The sequence below is a fragment of the Homo sapiens genome, chromosome 5, assembly GCF_000001405.40.
Source record: "Homo sapiens chromosome 5, GRCh38.p14 Primary Assembly".
Taxonomy (NCBI): Eukaryota; Metazoa; Chordata; class Mammalia; order Primates; family Hominidae; genus Homo; species Homo sapiens.
Window position 1 is genome coordinate 174599200 of NC_000005.10, and position 13767 is coordinate 174612966.

General features: G+C 44.8%; 1 annotated feature.

The window, feature by feature from the left end:
- Nucleotides 9311–9936: an enhancer, noted in NCBI's record as "H3K4me1 hESC enhancer chr5:174035513-174036138 (GRCh37/hg19 assembly coordinates)". NCBI's record gives its function as "activates a minimal SCP1, AML or CMV promoter by ChIP-STARR-seq in naive H9 embryonic stem cells {active_cell/tissue: H9 hESC(naive)}" and the evidence as "EXISTENCE:reporter gene assay evidence [ECO:0000049][PMID:30033119]".

The window sequence follows — 13767 nt, forward strand, 5'->3', positions numbered from 1 at the left end:
GGCCTCCTGGGTTCAAGCGATTCTCTTGCCTCAGCCTTTTGAGTAGCTGGGACTACAGGTGTGTGCCACCACGCCCAGCTAATTTTTGTATTTTTAGTAGAGATAGGGTTTCACCGTGTTAGCCAGGATGGTCTCAATCTCCTGACCTCGTGATCTGCCTGCCTCAGCCTCCCAAAGTTCTGGGATTACAGGCATGAGCCACCGCTCCAGGCCAGGAAGTGTACATTTTTAAATAACTAACAGAGTATAATTGGATTATTTGAAACACAAAGGATAAATGCTTGGGGTGATGGATACCCCATTTTTTCTGATGTGATTATCACCCATTGGATGCTTGTATGAAAATGTCTCATGTGCTCCAAAATATATACACCTACTATGTACCCACGAGAATTAAAAATAAAAACTTAAAAACCAAAAATAAAAAATATGATGGAGTAACAGGATAGAGCTGATCTCTCCAAATATGATAGCAACTAGCTACATTTCTTTAGCTACTTATTTTTAATTTTCAATTCGTTAAAATTAAATAAAAACATACAGTTCTGTAGTCACACTTGCCACCTTCTGAGGCTCAGTAGTCTCCTGGATAGTAGCCACTGCATTGAATGTTACAGATAAAGAATATTTCAATCGCTGCAGAAAGTTCTGTTTGTTGCACGGTGCTGGTGAGAGTTGCAGGAGTGGGAAGGAAAGAGGAGACAGGGAAGCCTCTCTGAGATGAAGACGTCTGGCTGAGACTTGCAGGGTGGGAAGGAGGCAGTTCTGTGGAGCAGGAAGATGTGTTTCAGGCAGAGGGGACAAAAGGTGCAGACACACTGAAACAGGAGCACACCTGGAGTTTGAGAGAAAAAGAAAGAACAGGATGGCTGGAGGAGGGTGAACAAGAGGGAGGGTGTTAAAGGAGGAAGTTGATCAGGTGGTCAAAGTAACACTTTGTACTCCTGCCAGATCACTAAAAGGACTGCAACTTCAGTCGGGTGCTCCTTAACACCCTCTCCTGGAAGGCAGCCACTGTGCCGCAAGGAAGCCCTCTAAGGCAGCCCATGGCAAGATCTCTACGGAGATCCCTACAACTGTGCCGGAGCTCCCAGGTGGAAAGCAGGTGGCTTGAAAGAGGCTCCTTCAGCCTCCAGCGGAGAACCCCAGCTGACCCTGCGTGGAGCAGAGACTCACCATTCCCATCAAGCCCTGCCCAAATTACAAAATCATGAGCAAAACAAATGATGGTGGTTGTTTTAAGATAAACGATACAGAGAGACCCAGCTACAAAGTGGTGGAGGGGAAGCGAGTCCTGTAGCTTTCAGCTGCGTTGCATCAAATAATCCAGCTTTGCCACATCACAGCTGGGAAACGTCAGGCAAATCTCCCCGCAGGTGAGAGCACCTAGCACAACTGCAGACACTTAGAATAAGCAAATACTACTGCTTGAGTGTTAAAACTCCTCAAACCCCACTTGGAAGTATAAACACATCTTCCTTTATCAACGTTAAGAGTTAAACTTGTCCCACCGGATCTAATTTGGAGGTTTCTTCTTTAGTAGGTCTCACACTTTACAGAAGCCAGCTGATGAGTCTGTTAAACTGAAAACCCAGAATCTTTCTCAGTTCTCCCATTTCCCACTTCTGGGGTCAAACCCTGGAGTTTGTATTTTAAAATATTTTTCAACTTTACTGACATACAATTGAAGTACACTAAATGGCATATATTGAAAGTGCACAATGTGATCAGTTTTGACACATGTATACCTCCATGAATCCATCTTCACAATCAAGATTATAAATATTTCCTTGACTAGCCGGGTGCAGTGGCTCATGCCTGTAATCCCAGCATTTTGGGAGGCTGAGGCGGGCAGATCACCTGAGGTCAGGAGTTCGAGACCAGCCTGTCCAGCATGGTAAACCCCGTCTCTACTAAAAATACAAAAATTAGCCGGGCATGGTGGCAGGTGCCTGTAATCCCAGCTACTCTGGAGGCTGAGGCAGGAGAAGCGCTTGAACCCGGGAGGCAGAGGCTGCAGTGAGCCAAGATCATGCCATTGCACCCCAGCCTGGGAGACAAGAGCAAGACTTCATCTTAAAAAAAAAATTTCCTTGACCACCAAAGATGGCTTTTGTACCCTTTGTAATCCAGCCTTCCTTCCATCACTTTACCCGACAACCACTGATATGCTTTGTCACTCTATTCGTGCATACTTTAAAAAAAACAAAAACACTGCACTCCAGCCTGGTGACAGAGCGAGACTCTGTCTCAGAAAAAAAACAAAAAGAAAAAAACAAAAAACAAAAACTTTATATATTGAATCATATCTCATGAACTCTTTTTGTTGTCTGGCTTGTGTCACTCAACACCATGATTTTGAGATTCGTCCACATAGTTCATGTATCAACATTTCATTCCTCTTTATTGCTGATTAATACTCCAGCGTATGAACGCCACAGTGTCCAATCATCTGCTGATGGACATTTGGGTTGTTTCCAATTTTGGCTAGGACAAATAAAGCTGCTGTGAACAGCCATGGGTAGTTGGGTACACTTGGGAGTTGAATGACTGAGCTGCATGGCAGATGATGTTTAACTTTTTTTATAAACTGCAAAACCATTTTTGCCAAGTGGTTTTACCTTCTTATGTCCCTTACAGCAGTGCATGAGAGTTCTGGCTATCCCACATCTTTGCCAACACTTGGTACAGTTTTAAAAATTTTAGCCAGTGGTGTGCTGGACCCAGCTTGCACCAGCTTGTGGGAGCCAACTCTGCATCTTTTCCCAATTCTGGGTTCAGCGACTTCTTGTTGGTACCTTGAAATCAACCATGGTGGAAATATTTACTCCATAGAAACTGGCAAATGCTACTAATCAGACTTCCTTCACCTCTACTCCACCCAGAACAGCTGTTAATCATTTACCAACACACCATTGATTGCAGCCATTCTAGTGGGTATGTAGTGGTATTTCATTGTCATTCAATTTACATTTCCCTGATGACTAATGGTGTTGAGCAGCTTTTCATGTGCTTATGGGTCATTCTCATCTCTTCTTTTGAGAAGTATCTGTTGAAATCTTTGCCTATTTTCTCACTGGGTTGCAGACCCTTTTCACTTTCTTAATGGTGTCTTTCAAAGCACAAAGGTGTCTTATTTTAATTGAAGTATAATTTATCATTTTTTCTTTATGATTTGTGATTGTTGTGTTCTATGTAAGAAATGGGATGCAAAAATATTTTCCTATGGTTTCTTTTTTCTTTCTTTTTTTTTTGAGACAGAGTTTCACTCTGTCACCCAGGCTAGAGTGCAGTGGCAGGATCTCGGCTCACTGCAAGCTCCGCCTCCTGGGTTCATGCCATTCTCCTCCCTCAGCCTCCTGAGTAGCTGGGACTATAGGTGCTCGCCACCACACCCAGCTAATTTTTTGTATTTTTAGTAGAGACGGGGTTTCACCGTGTGAGCCAGGATGGTCTCGATCTCCTGACCTCGTGATCCGCCCGCCTCGGCCTCCCAAAGTGCTGGGATTGCAGGTGTGAGCCACCGTGCCTGGCCTCTCCTATAGTTTCTTTTTAAAAGTTTTGTGGTTTTAAGTTTTGCATTTGAATCTGTAATTCATTTTGATTCAATTTTTATGCATGGTGTGGGTTTTGTGTCAATATTCACTTTTTTCTTGCATATTTATCTAGCACCATTTGTTGAAAAGTCGTCTTTTCTCACAGAATTGCCTTGGCTCCTGTATCAAAACAACTGACCAATACATGTGTGTCAATTTATGGACTCTCTAATCTGTTCCACTGAGCTATATGTTTACATTTTCACTAATACTGAACTGTCTTGATTACTGTAGCTTTATAGTAAGTCTTAAAAGCAAATAGGGTAGATTATCCAACTTTTTTTAAAATTGCTTTTGTTATTCTACACCCTTTGTTTTTGTTATTCTATACCCACTTTCTCGTGGAAATCGAGTTTGTCAATTTCCACTAGAATACTTTCTAAAATTTCTATTGGGATTGCATTGAATCTGTAGCTTAATTTGGAGAAAAGCACCATCTTAACGATATTGAGTCTTCCAAACCAAACAGGACATATTTTTTCATTTATTTAGGTCCTTCTTAATTTCCCCAGCATTGCTTTGTAATTATCAGTGTAGAAGTCTTGCATGTCTTTTTTTTTTTTTTTTTTTTTTTTTTTTTTTTTTGATGAAGTCTTGCTCTGTTGCCCAGGCTGGAATGCAGTGGCGCAATCTCGGCTCACTGCAATCTCCGACTCCCTGGTTCAAGTGATTTTCCTGCCTCAGCATCCCAAGTAGCTGGGATTATAGGCACGTGCCACCACACCCAGCTAATTTTTGAATTTTTGGTAGAGACGGGGTTTCACCATGTTGACCAGGATGGTCTCCATCTCCTGACCTCGTGATCCGCCTGCCTCAGCCTCCCAAAGTGCTGGGCTTACAGGCGTGAGCCACCACAACTCTTGCATGTCTTATGTTAGATTTTTTTCCTAGGTATTTTATATTAGATTTTTTCCTAGGTATTTAATGTTTTGGTACTACCATACACAGAATTGTTTGCTTAATGTTATCAGTTGTTTGATGTTCCAACATAAGGGTTATAATTAATTTTGTATATTAACCTTGTCTTCTGCAGCATTGCTAAATTCATTTACTAGTTCCAGTAGTTACTTTTTAGACTCCCTTGAATTTTCTGCATAAATTATTATAGCACCTGAAAGCAGGGGTAGAGTTATTTCTTCCTCCCCAAATGTTATGCCTTTTGTTTCTTTTTCTTGCTTTGTTGCATTGGCTAGATTCCCTAGAATAATGTTGAATACAAGTTGTGAGAGCAGGCATCCTTGCCTTTTTCTGGATTTCAGGGGAAACAATTCAACCTTTCATCATTAAGAATGATGGGGCTGGGCACGGTGGCTCACACCTGTAATCCCAGCACTTTGGGAGGCCGAGGCGGGCGGATCACAAGGTCAGGAGATCGAGACCATCCTGGCTAAACGGTGAAACCCCATCTCCACTAAAAGTACAAAAAATTAGGCGGGCATGGTGGTGGGCGCCTGTGGTCCCAGCTACTCGGGAGGCTGAGGCAGGAGAATGGTGTGAACCCGGGAGGCGGAGCTTACAGTGAGCCGAGATTCTGCCACTGCACTCCAGTGTGGGTGACAGAGCGAGACTGTCTCAAAAAAAAAAAAAAGAATGATGTTCGCTATAGATTTTTGTTTAAAAATAGATGATCTTTAGCAGTTTGAGGATATTCCCTACTATTCCTAGGTTGCTATAAGTTTTTATTTTGAATGGGTGGAATTTCTTCTTTCAAATGCTTTTCCACAATCTATTGAAATCATCCTATGGTTTCTTCACCTTTATTCTGTTGCTTTTGGTATTACATTGATAGACTTATTTTATTTTATTTTATTTTTGAGGCAGAGTCTAGCTCTGTCACCCAAGCTGGAGTACAGTAGTATGATCCTGGATCACTGCAACCTCCGCCTCCCGGGTTCAAGCAATTCTCCTGCCTCAGCCTCCCAAGTAGCCGGGATTATAGGTGCCCACGACCATGCCCAGGACTTTTTGTATTTTTAGTAAAGATGGGGTTTCACTGTGTTGGCCAGGCTGGTCTTGAACTCCTGACCTCGTGTTCCACCCGCCTCGGCCTCCCAAAGTGCTGGGGTTACAAGCATGAGCCACCACGTCCGGCTGATAGCTTGATTTTCAAATATTAAACTAGGCTTTCATTTTGGGTAATAAATCCTACTTAGTCATGATTTATTATCATTTGTATATATTGTTGGATTCAATTTTCTATTTTTTTGCTAATTTTTGGTGTATGCTTATAAAAATATTAAGTTTATAATTTTTTAAAAAATATCTGCCAGATTTTGGTGCTTAAGGTATACCAGACTTATACAATTGGGAATGATTCTGCCTTCTCTAATTTTAAAAATATTTATGAAATATTGGTGTTATTTCTTCCTGAAATATTTGACAGAATTTACCAGTGAAACCATGTGGTCCTGGAGTATTTTGGAAGGAAAAATTTTTAAGTAACAAATTCAATTTTTTAAATAGGTTAGGGCTAGAGTTTATGTTTCTCATGTCAATTTTGATGAGTTCTATTTTTCAAGACATTTGCTCATTCCATCTAATTTATTAGATTTATTGGCATAAAGGTGTTCATAGTATTTTATTATATTTTTCAATGTTTTTAGGACCTGTGGTAATCGTCCATTTTAAATTTCTGATATGGATGATTGATTTTTTCATGACTTAGTCTAGTTAGGGACTTTTCAGTTTTGTTAATTATTTTTAGAGAAAAAGATTTGGACTTCCTAATTTTCTCTATTGTCTGTTTTGTTTCATAAGTTTTTGTCCTTATCATGATCATTTCTTTCCTTATATTTACTTTTGATTGACTTTGTTTTTTTTTTCCTATTTTCTTAAGGTAGAAACTTAGGTCATTGACTTTAGACATTTTTTTCTTTTCTAATGTCAGCATTTAAAGCTGTAACTTTCCCCTTAAACACTACTTTAGCTGCATCTGACATTATTTTGATGTATTGCATTTGTATTTATCTTTCAGTGCAAAATATGTTATAATCTAGGCCGGGCGCGGTGGCTCACACCTATAATTCCAACACTTAGGAGGCTGAGGTGGATCACCTGAGGTCAGGAGTTCGAGACCAGCCTGACCAACAACGCGAAACCACGTCTCTACTAAAAATACAAAAATTAGTTAGCCGAGTGGATGCACTCCTGTAATCCCAGCTACTCGGGAGGCTGAGCAGGAGAATCGCTTGAACACGGGAGGTGGAGGTTTCAGTGAGCCGAGATCGTGCCACTGCCCTCCAGCCTGGGTGACAGAGCAAGACTCCTTCTCAAAAATAAACAAACAAAAAAACCCAAAAAACAAAAATATGCTATAATCTTCCTTGTATAATTTTGGTTTTGGTCTATAAATTACTTCAAAATGTGTTATTTAATTTCCACACATTTGGGGTTTTCCTAGATATATTTTTATTATTAATTCCTAATTTAATTCCACTGCAGTCAGAAAACACATTTTGTGTGATTGCAGTCCTTGCAAATTTATTAGGACTTGTTTTATGGCCCAGGATATGGTCTATCTTGACATATGTACCATGGGTACTTAACTAGCTGGATGTGTTTAGACAAGTTACTTAATCTCTCTGGTCTCAATTTACTCACATATAAAAGCCGGACGACAGCAATAGCACTTACCTCCAAAGGCTGTTGTCAGGATTCAAGTAGGTAACAAGAAAAGCACTAAGCACAGCGGCTGGCACATAGTACACATGCCATACATTTAGCTTTTATTATTATCACTCAAAAGGTGAAAACCCTGCTAGCCGCTGGGTTTGTTTTATTCCGGGCTCCACCACAATGTCCTAAAGCTTCCCCATAAAACAGCTAAAACAAAACAGCTAAAGGTTCCCTCCTCCAGCCCCAGTTTCTTTTCACGGAATTCTGATCAAATCCAGAATCCCTTTCCGTTGTCCTTAGGGCTCTGTGTGGTCCTGCCTCTGCCTGTCTCACTGACCTCCTCTCTCTCCACTCTCCCTCTGGATCCACCACTCACCAGCCACAACCATGTTCCATCTCGTCCTTAAACACCACTAGCAGGAACTTTCCCAGTCTGGGCCTTTGTGCATGCTTCTCCCTCTGTCTGGAAGCTTCTCATTTCTTGCATTCTTCGATAGTTACAACTCAGTTTAAATGTGGCTTTCTCCAGGAAGTCTTCCTTGACTGCACAATCTAAACTCAGTCTACTTGATATTATCTTTCATACCAGCTGGCTTTTCCTTCAAAGCACTTAGCACAATTTGTACAAGTTCAACCTCCCCCACGAGATTGTATGCACCAAGAAGGAAGAACTTTAGCTGTTTTGTTGATCCTGTGTCCAGTGCTGTGGCTGGAAATGACAGCAGTCACGTTCATGCACGTCTATAACCCCTGTTGAATGAGTAAACCCTTGCTGTTATAAACCCCAGATAGGTGAGCCAGGGCAAATCACTTGACTTCTTTGAGCTTTATTTTCCTCATCTGGAAAATGCCTGCCATCATCCTTCCCTCAAAGTGTTATTGAGAAAAGTTTTCATGTGTTCATGAAAGCCAGAAATATACTCAAACAAGTATACCACTGCATAGAACCTACAAATGTCCATTGTCACTTGATTGTAAAAGCGGAAAACTAGAAGCAACTGAGAAGATCAGCCACAGACACCCGGTTAATAAACCACACTCATACAACAGAGCACCGTGGAGGTGCTTACAAAATGTATCTCCTCATGATGGAAAGACATATTACAGGGAAATAAAATTGAAGAAGATTGTCTCTAGTGAGAGCTGATTTTTGAAGAGCATTTGACAAAATACATGTTTTCGGCAGGCCACGGTGGCTCACGCCTATAATCCCAGAACTTTGGGAGGCTGAGGCGGGTGGATCACGAGGTCAGGAGTTTGAGACCAGCCCAGCCAAGATGGTGAAACTCTGTCTCTACTAAAAATACAAAAAAATTAGTGGGCATGGTGGCGGGCACCTGTAATCCCAGCTACTCGGGAGGCTGAGGCAGAGAACTGCTTGAACCCCGGAGGCGGAGCCTGCAGTGAGCTGAGATCGCGCCACTGCACTCCAGCCTGGGCAATAGAGCGAGACTCCATCTCAAAAAAAAAAAAAAAATAGAAAAAGATACATGTTTTCTCAAACCAGAAACTTCTGACATTGTTTATTTCTTGGGGGTGAGACTGGAAAAGGGGAGATATGTTTCATTTTAAGCCTGTTTGAAATTTTTTACCATGGGCACTTACTGCTTTTGTAAACAAGGAATTCTTTCATGTTTAAAACATGGTGGTGAGCAGTTGCTGAGCCGCGCAGGGCAGGACTCCTCCTCTCGCTCCAGCTGCTTGTTAGCATCGAGTCTCCGGGTAATTTTGACAGCGCCAAGCAAGCCCCAGAGCTGAGTGCCAACACGTCACTCTACAGAGTGCCCTGTGCTGGTCATTAGAGCCCTGCTCCTGTTCTGTGGCTATAATCCTAGCACTTTGGGAGGCCGAGGCAGGTGGATCACCTGAGATCAAGAGTTCGAGACCAGCCTGGCCAACATGGTAAAACCCTGTTTCTACTAAAAATACAAAAATTAGCTGGGCGTGGTGGTGGGCACCTGTAATCCCAACTACTCGGGAGGCTGAGGCAGGAGAATCACTTGAACCCAAGAGGCAGTGGTTGCAGTGAGCCGAGATCATACCATCGCACTCCAGCCTGGGCAACAGAGCAAAAACTCCGTCTCAAAAAAAAAAAAAAAAAAAGACAAAACAGAACAAACAGAAGCAGCCCTTTCTGGGTAGCAAGGGCCGCGGTGGTGGCAGTGGCTGGTGGCTGGTGGCTGGCAGCTTGATTTCCTACCTCAAGCTCCCTGATGCCTGCTGGAAGGGTTCTCCAGACAGCCCGACTGCAGCTGGAGCCACAGGTACCAGGCCTGAAGACCAAGCAATAAATCATTAGCAGATTGGCCCACGGATCACTTCCCTTTTGGGGCGCTGCCTGGCACTTCCCAAGAGGAAGAAATTTATCAGCACTTGGCTGGCTGCCCTGTGCTCGCACAGTCGCGGGCTCCCAGTAGGTCACACCGAGTGGCCCCTCCTCCTCAGACACAGGGCTGTGCCTGGGGAGGCCCAAGAAAGCCAAAGAATAGGCCACGGGCTCAGAAGACAGGGTGAGAAACACTTAGTCAGCATAATCCCTGCCAATCACACCAGGGCTTCCGGTAATACCAAGAGGGGAGCGGGTGAGAAGGTGGATTCTGAATCTGACCACGTAACTCTGCACTGCCACGAAGGCCCCAGCTCATGCCCCGCGCTCAGCAGAGAGTGGGCTTGGGCCTCATCTTCCTGTAACCGGGGGCTGGGGACCACTTTGATCTCACTGTTCCCCTTGCTGCTGTTCACACCAGTACGGCGCCTTCAAGAAGTTATCCCAGGGCAATTTTCCACCTTTGAAGTCCCCGGAAAACCCTGCCAAAAGCCGTTCTGGTGTGAGGATGCTGCAGGGGCAGGCAGCCTGGTGCCGCGGCCTCCCGGGTGCCAGAACTGGAACATCGAGACATCAAAGGCGAAGGTGGCAGCAGGGCGATGAGTAAGCTCCGCTGCAGGCTTGGCCTCGGCCCCAGAAGCCTTCTCCTCATCTCCCAGTGGTGGCTGAGCAGGACTAGGGAGACGACCCAGAGAGCCTGGAGACCTGGCTTGGGGGAAGCCCTGTGGATGCTTCTGGAGGCGGACACTTCCCTGCTGCTCTGTGCCTGGTAAAGGCACCGACCACTGCAGAGCAGAAGCAGAGTCCAATCCTGGCTCCAAAGCGCCCCTGACTGCAAAGCTTTGGTAACTCCCATCCCCTCTTGGGTCCCCAGTTTCTTCATCTGTCACATGAGAATGTGGGATCAGACCCCAAATGACCAACTGGCAGCCCACGGGCCACGTCAGGCCCACAGACATGTCTTGTTTGGCCCACAAGTGAGTTTTTGTTTGTTTGTTTGTTTGTTTGAGATAGAGTCTTGCTCTGTCGCCAGGCTGGAGTGCAGCAGCGTGATCTCGGCTCACTGCAACCTCCACCTCCCGGGTTCAAGTGATTCTCCTGCCTCAGCTTCCCGAGTAGCTGGGACTACAGGCGCATGCCACGATGCCCAGCTAATTTTTGTATTTTTAGTAGAGACAGAGTTTCACCATGTTGGCCAGGATGGTCTCGATCTCCTGACCTCGTGATCTGCCAGCCTCAGCCTCCCAAAGTGCTGGGATTACAGGCGTGAGTCACCGTGCCCAGCTGTTTTTTTAATTAGTTGTCAATTATTTCCAACTTGTAAAAATTAGGAGATTCAACACTACTTTCTACATTTTTTTATTCTTTTGCAAAAATCTGGGAAATCTGACAATGCTGGGCCTGCTGTCCAAGAGGGCAGATGTGGGCAGGAGCTGGGTAGCAGCTGCCACTTCTTCAGGAAACCTAAGTCCCAGTTGTCAACAGTTCCTCCCAGCCTGCTGATTTTGTGACCACTTGAGTTTGGGGCCTCTGAACTAGAGATTTCTTTTTTCTTTTTTTTGGAGATGGAGTTTCACTCTTGTTGCCCAGGCTGGAGCGCAATGGTGCGATCTCGGCTCACTGCAATCTCCGCCTCCCAGGTTCAAGTGATTCTCCTGCCTCAGCCTCCCAAGTAGCTGGGATTACAGGCACCCATCACCACACCCGGCTAATGTTTTAGTTTTTTGCAGAGATGGGGTTTCACCATGTTGGCCGGGCTGGTCTTGAACTCCTGGCCTAAGGTGATCCACCCACCTCGGCCTCCCAAAATACTGGGATTACAGGTGTGAGCCACTGAGCCTGGCTGATTTCATTTTGTTTTAAGAGATTTGGCCCATGAGCCCCTATCATGTGTCATGCACTCCCCTGGGGAGAAACAGTGAAGCAGACAGAGGTGACACGACCCTTCCCCTCTTGCAGTCACAGGTTGACTATATGCAGAGGTCTCTCAAAGTGTGCCTCATGGGTCCCTCAGAATCTGGTTAAGATGCAGAGAAATGCCTGGGCCCCAACCCAAATCTGCTAAATCAGATCTTCCGGGGGTGGAATCTGGAAATCTCCATTTTTAGCAAGCTCCCTGGAGGATGACCTTAGCCACATGAAAGCTCTTGCAGCCGTGGTGGAAAGGATCATCCACGGTGACTTGCAGCTGTGAGTCCATGAGTCTAGTACACTCTCTCAGGCCTTGAGCGGGGAAGGAATCAGGGCTTACTGAGCCACCCCCATCTTCCAGGCACTGTGCTAAGTCCTTTCCATACCTCATTTCATTTCATCCTCGCAATAAACCAGGTACTGTTATTACCACCGTGAAACAGGTGGGGAAACTGAAGCATGAGGAGCTTGAGTAATGTGTGTTAGATCACGCAACCAGTAGTGGCAGAGCTGGAATTCCGACCTGGGACTGCCTCCAAAGTTCTTGCGTAAGAATACAGCTGCTACACTTGCCCTTCTTCAGCTGAGACCAAGGAGGGAATTCTGATTGAAAGCAAACCAGGGAGGAAAGATGCACTAGCACTGACCTGTAACAGGTCAATCTGTGCCATGGCATGGCGAGACGAAGTGGAGAACCCATGTCTCATTGGAATCCCGGATCATCGTCTCCACGAAGGCTGTCTTCTGCAGCACTCCAGGGACTCACGGCTCTGGGCTTATTGCTCAGTGTCATGTGACAGTAAGTTTTGGCGAAGGCCGTTTGTAAGGTGATTTTAGTGGCTGGCTTTGAGTGGCTTCCCTCCAGATTCACAAAGGTTGGGCCACTGTTCCAGAGAACCTGAAATCAGAACCTGATTTCAGAACCTGAGAACCTCAGAACCTGAGCCACATCAGCTTTTGCCAACAAACTCCATGGTTTTGTTGTTGTTGTTGCTGCTGCTGCTTTGTTTGCTTGTTCTGTTGCTGTGTAATGAATCTTCTTGCCATTGGCTCTTTCTCTGCCTTTATTCTAGGTTTGTACCAGGCACATCTCCAGAATTGTTGTCCTTTAGAAAAACATCTTGGTTCCAATGAGAAAACAAATAAAGAAAGCTAGAGTCTTAAAAAGCGAATTCGGAAATCAATCTATCGACCAGATCATTATCGGGGGCGGGGGGGCCGAAGGGGTCGGGGAGGGCCATGGTGGTGAATAGAGAACAACTTTTCATAGCTCTCCTTTACAGGAAAATCCAGTATGGTTTATCTCTTCCCAAAATATTCATGATGGTCATGAAGTAACCCCTGAGCCTGGAATTGAGTTAAGTTTGGTATTCACAAAGCTGTGTAACTTTGAACAGGTTGCTTCCCTTCTCTGAGCCTCCGTTCCCCTATCTGGAAATCTTGTTAGATCATTTCTTTTTTTTTTTTTTTTTTTTTCAGACGGAGTCTTGCTCTGTAGCCCAGGCTAGAGTGCAGTGGCACATCTCGGCTCACTGCAAGCTCCACCTCCTGGGTTCACGCCATTCTCCTGCCTCAGCCTCCCAAGTAGCTGGGACTACAGGCACCCACCACCACGCCTGGCTAATTTTTTGTGTTTTTTAGTAGAGACGGGGTTTCACTGTGTTAGCCAGGATGGTCTCGAACTCCTGACCTCGTGATCCGCCCGCCTCGGCCTCCCAAAGTGCTGGGATTACAGGCGTGAGCCACCGTGCCCGGCCCTTGTTAGATAGTTTCTAAGATCATTATAGTTCTAACATTCTGTGAATTTAGTGCCTGGCATACACTAAGTGGAAGGAGAGAGAAAGAAAGGAAGGGAGAGGTGAAGGGAGGGAGAAATCAATCTGTGAAAGCTGTCTTTCATAGAGACAAGAATGAGTGTCTTTTCTGCCTCCAAGGACACTGCCTCTATCTCCTCAGCACATGCTGAGTTGAACTGTTGATAATGTAATAAGCTCTGCCTCATTCTCCCTTGAAATACCACTTTTTAGCCTGTGTTGTCACAGAAGAAAATGAGTCAATTAGAGAATTCAAGCAAGAGTGCTCTTTAAAAAGGACATGTAGATAGTTAATTGCAGTCAATTAGACCTGTTGTCTTGGTGGCTGGGTCTCCAGATAGGAGAAGAATGGGAAACGCCCAAAGGTTACTCATCTCTGGCAAGGAAACGCTGAGCTGTGCCATTTGACAGTGGCATCCAGGAAGTGTTGGAGCATCCAACCCTGTCTCCAGGGAGGCTGGCCTCTTCATCCCTGATCTCATCTGCAGGACTTTTTCCCCACTAA